This window comes from Homo sapiens, chromosome 11, assembly GCF_000001405.40.
Source record: "Homo sapiens chromosome 11, GRCh38.p14 Primary Assembly".
NCBI lineage: Eukaryota > Metazoa > Chordata > Mammalia > Primates > Hominidae > Homo > Homo sapiens.
The window spans coordinates 61,659,942-61,665,399 of record NC_000011.10 but is presented as its reverse complement, the minus strand read 5'-3'; the positions used below and the strand labels follow the sequence as shown (position 1 = coordinate 61,665,399).

The window sequence follows — 5,458 nt, the reverse complement described above, 5'->3', positions numbered from 1 at the left end:
TCTGTTCCCATTAAACAGTAACTCCCGTTCCTCTCTCCCCCCAGCCTCAGTCACTAGGATTCTACTTTCTGTGTCCATGAATTTGACTATTCTAGATACTTCATAGAAGTGGAATCATATTATAAATATATATATATTTTTTCTTTTTTTTTTTTTTTTGAGACAGAGTTTCTTTCTGTCACCCAGGCTGGAGTGCAGTGGTGCGATCTTGGCTCACTGCAACCTCGACCTCCTGGGTTCAAGCAATTCTCCTGCCTCAGCCTCCCAAGTAGCTGGGATTACAGGCACCCGCCACCATGCATAGCTAATTTTTGTATTTTTGGTAGAGACAGGGTTTTCATCATGTTGGCCAGGCTGGTCTCGAACTCCTGACCTCAGGTGATCCACCCGCCTCGGCCTCCCGAAGTGCTGGAATTACAGGCATGAGCCACCGCGCCTGGCCTGGAATCATATAATATTTGTTCTTTGTGACTGGTTGGTTTATTTCACTTAGCATAATGTCTTCAAGATTCATCCATGTAATAGCATGTATCAGAATTTCATTCCTTTTTAAGTCTGAATAACATTCCATTGTATGTATCATATTTTCTTTTTTGTTTCTTTTTTCTTTTTTCTTTTGAGATGGAGTCTTGCTATGTTTTCCAGGCTGGAGTGCAATGGTGCAATCTCAGCTCACTATAAACTCCGCCTTCTGGGTTCAAGTGATTCTCCCACCTCCGCCTCCCTGAGTAGCTGGGATTACAAGCACCCACCATCATGCCTAGCTAAGTTTTGTATTTTTGTAGAGATGGGGTTTCACCATGTTAGCCAGGCTGGTCTTGAACTCCTGACCTCAGGTGATCTGCTTGCCTCGGCCTCCCAAAATGCTGGGATTATAGGTGTGAGCCACTGCCCCTGGCCATATGTATTGTATTTTCATCCATGTCTGAAAGCCACATTTCATTCATTGATGGACGTTTGGGTTGTTTCCACCCTTTGGCTATTGTGATTAATGCTACTATAAACATACGTGTACAAATGCCTGTTCAAGTCCCTGCTTTCAATTCTTTTGGACATATACTCAGAAGTGGAATTGCTGGATTTTATGATAATTCTATGTTTAGTTTTCTAAGGAACAACTCTACCATTTTCCACAAGGGCTACGTCATTTTATATTCCCACTGACGGGCACAAAGTTTCCAATTTCTCCATATCCTTGCCAACATTTGTTATTTCCTGTTTTTTGTTTTGTTTTGCTTTGCTTTGTTTTTTTTTTAATTTTATTTATTTATTTATTTATTTATTTATTTGAAACAGAGTCTTGTTCTGTCTCCCAGGCTGGAGTGCAGTGGCGCGATCTTGGCTGAGTGCAAGCTCCACCTCCCAGGTTCATGCCATTCTCCTGCCTCAGCCTCCCGAGTAGTTGGGACTACAGGCGACCACCATCATGCCCAGCTAATTTTTTTGTATTTTTAGTAGAGACAGGGTTTCACCGTGTTAGCCAGGATGGTCTCGATCGCCTCACCTCACAATCTGCCCGCCTCGGTCTCCCAAAGTGCTGGGATTACAGGCGTGAGCCACCGCGCCCGGCCTTAATTTTATTTATTTATTTATTTATTTTTTGAGACGGAGTCTCACTCTGTCACCCAGGCTGCAGTGCAGTGGTGCAGTCTCAGCTCACTGCAACCTTTGCCTCCCAGGCTCAAGCGATTCCCCTGCCTCAGCCTCCTGAGTAGCTGGGATTACAGGCACCCGCCACCATGCCAGCTAATTTTCTTAGTTTTAGTAGAGATGGGGTTTCACCATGTTGCTTAGGCTGGTCTCGAACTCCTGTCCTCAGGCGATCCACCCGCCTTGGCGACCCAAAGTGCTCGGATTACAGGCGTGAGCTACCACGATGGCCTGCTTTGTTTTCTAATAGACATCCTGATGGGTATGAAGTGGTGTCTCATTGTGGTTTTGATTTGCATTTCTCTAATGATTAATGATGTTGAACATCTTTTCTTGTACTTACTGGCCATTTTTAAGAAAGATTTTTTCTTTTTTATTAAAGTTACACACTAATCCTAAGTGAAGGGCTTGATTAATTTATTTTATTTTATTTATTTATTTATTTATTTTGAGATGGAGTCTTGCTCTGTTGCCCAGGCTGGAGTGCAGTGGCACGATCTTGACTCACTGCAACCTCCGCCTCCCAGGTTCAAGTGATTCTTCTGCCTCAGCCTCCCAAGTAGCTAGAACTAGAGGCGAGCGCCACCACACCCAGCTAATTTTCTTTGTATTTTTAGTAGAGATGGGGTTTCACCATGTTGGACAGGCTGGTCTCAAACTCCTGACCTCACGTGATTGGTCTGCCTTGGCTTCCCAAAGTGCTGGGATTACAGGCGTGAGCCACCGCGCCTGGCCAATGAATTTATTTCACATATGTATACACCCAGATATTCAGATCTTTCCTTCCTTCCTTCCTTCTCTTTCTTTCTTTCTTTCTTTCTTTCTTTCTTTCTTTCCTTTCCTTTCTTTCTTTTTTTTTTTTTGAGACGGAGTCTCACTCTGTCACCCAGACTGGAGTGCAGTGGTGCAATCTCGGCTCATTGCAACCTTTGCCTCCCAGGTTCAACCGATTCTTCTGCCTCAGCCTCCCAAGTAGCTGGGATTACAGGTGCCCACCACCACGCCCAGCTAATTTTTGTATTTTTAGTAGAGATGGGGTTTCACCATGTTGGCCAGGCTGATCTCAAACTCCTGACCTTGTGATCTGCCCACCTCGGCCTCCCAAAAGTGCTGGGATTACAGGCGTGAGCCACCGTGCCCGGCCACACCAGGTATTTCTCAGGAAACACACACACAAGTGTTTTTCTGCCCTCTCAACACAACCACAATCAACACCACAGAATACTTCCGTGACCAAATGCGTGGGTTTTTTTCCCCCACACACCAAGCAGCAGACACTGGCTGGGTGTCCTCTCATTCAGTTCAATTCTGGTGCTGTTTACCTGGAGATAGCATCACATCCCACAGGGTTAGAACTCAGTCCCATCAGACTGTCCCCACTTCAGACACCTGCAAGTCCAAGCCTCCAGAACTTCTGACCGACTGGTTTCAAGTTGGGGTTCCCCGACCTCCTCGATTAATTTGCTACAGCGGCTCGCAGAACTCAGGGAAACTTACGTTAACCAGTTTATTATAGAGGATTACAAAGGACACAGATAAAGGGATGCATTGGATGAGGTATGGGCTCTGAGCTTCCACGCTTTCCCCTAGGCGCCACTCTACAGGAAACTCCAGGTGTTCAACTGTCCGAAATCCTGTCCTTTTGGCCTTTTGTAGGAGCCATGGGAAAAGTTCCCCTTCACCCACTGAAGGTTTGCTGAAAAATCAACTGACAAAAAGCTGATTAATAAGAGAAAAGGCGGCCAGGTGGAGTGGCTCACGCCTGTAATCCCAGCACTCTGGGAGGCCAAGGCGTGTGGATCACCCAAGGTCATGAGATGAGTTCGAGACCAGCCTGGCCAACATAGTGAAACCCCCATCTCTACTAAAAATACAAAAATTAGCCCGGTGTGGTGGCACATGCCTGTAATCCAAGCTACTCCAGAGACTGAGGCAGGAGAATCGCTTGAACCCAGGAGGTAGAGGTTGCAGTGAGCCAAGATCACGGCCACTACACTCCAGCATGGGCAACAGAGCCAGACTCCATCTCAAAAAAAAAAAAAAAAAGGAATGTAATCCCCAATGTTGGAGGTGGGGTCTGGTGGGAGGTGCTTGGGTGGATCCCTCATGGCTTGCTTCTGTCCTCTTGATAGTGAGTGAGTGAGTTCCCCCAAAATCTGTTTTTTGGGGGTTTTCTTGTTTTTTTTTTTTTTTAGGGGGACAGAGTCTTGCTCTCTTGCCCAGGCTGGAGTGCAGTGGCATGATCTCGGCTCACTGCAACCCCCACCTCCTGGGTTCAAGAGAGTCTCCTAGCTCAGCCTCCCAAGTAGCTGGAACCACAGGCACCTGCCACCACGCCTGGCTAATTTTTGTATTTTTTTTTTTTAGTAGAGACGGGGTTTCACTATGTTGCCCAGGCTGGTCTCGAACTCCTGACCTCAAGTGATTTACCTGCCTTGGCCTCCCAAAGTGCTGGGATTATAGGCATGGGCCATTGCACTCGGCCTCTGTTCTTTCATAATGTGTGGCAACTCCTTTCCCCTTGCTCCCCCTCTGGCCATGTGATGTGCCTGCTCCCACTTCACCTTCCACCATGAGAAAACCTCCCTGAAGCCTCATGAGAAGCTGAGCAGGTGCCAGCACCATGCTTCCTGTAAAGTCTGCAGAACCATGAGCCAATTAAACCCCTTTTCTTTATCACCTATGCAGCATCAGGTATTTCTTCACAGCAATGCAATAACGGCCTAACACACTCCCCAACCATGTGTGAGGGTTTCAGTTGCGTACATCCTTGCCAACAGTTGGTATTGTCATTCCTTTCAATTTTGCCAATTTTCCAGCCACCTTTTGAAGACTGTAGCCCCAACCTGCTCCTTTTGTTACCGGAAAGGGGCCCCGGTCCAGACCCCAAGGCAGGGTTCTTGGATTTTGTGCAAGAAAAAATTTGAGGCGAATCCATAGAGTAAAGTGAAGGCAAGTTTATTAGAAAAATAACAGAATAAAAGGGCTGCCGGTTAATCATTTTTATGGTTCTTTTTCTTTTTTTTTTTCTTTTTTTTTGAGACAGAGTCTTGCTCTGTTGCTCAGGCTGGAGTGCAGTGGCGAGATCTCGGTTCACTGCAAGCTCCGCCTCCTGGGTTCACGCCATTCTCCTGCCTCAGCCTCCCGAGTAGCTGGGACTACAGGCACCCGCCACCATGCCCGGCTGATGTTTTTTATTTTTTTAGTAGACATGGGGTTTCACCGTGTTAGCCAGGATGGTCTCTATCTCCTGAGCTCGTGATCCTCCCACCTCAGCCTCCCAAAGTGCTGGGATTACAGGCGTGAGCCGCCATGCCCGGCCTCTTTATTTTTTTTGAGATGGAGTTCCGCTCTTGTTGCCCAGGCTGGAGTGCAATGCTGTGATCTCACTCACTGTAACCTCTGCCTCCCAGGTGCAGGAGATTCTCCTGCCTCAGCCTCCCGAGTAGCTGGGATAACAGGCACCCGCCACCACACAAGGCTAATTTTTTGTATTTTTAGGAGAGACAGGGTTTCACCATGTTGGCCAGGCTGGTCTCGAACTTCTGACCTCAGGTGATCCATCCACCTCAGCCTCCCGAAGTGCTGGGATTAGAGGAGTGAGCCACCATGCCCAACTGGTTATTTCTTGAGGATATGCTAAATAAGGGGTGGATTATTCATGCCTCCCCTTTTTAGACCATATAGGGTAACTTCCTGACATTGCCATGGCATTTGTAAACTGTGTACCAGTGAGGGCCACCAGAGGTCAGCCTCATTGCCATCTTGGTTTTAGTGGGTTTTAGCCGGCTTCTTTACTGCAGACCGT

At 47.1% G+C, this 5,458-nt stretch overlaps 1 annotated feature.

Annotated features, from left to right (window-relative positions):
* Window positions 1,619-2,311: an enhancer, noted in NCBI's record as "OCT4-NANOG-H3K27ac hESC enhancer chr11:61430561-61431253 (GRCh37/hg19 assembly coordinates)". NCBI's record gives its function as "activates a minimal SCP1, AML or CMV promoter by ChIP-STARR-seq in naive H9 embryonic stem cells {active_cell/tissue: H9 hESC(naive)}" and the evidence as "EXISTENCE:reporter gene assay evidence [ECO:0000049][PMID:30033119]".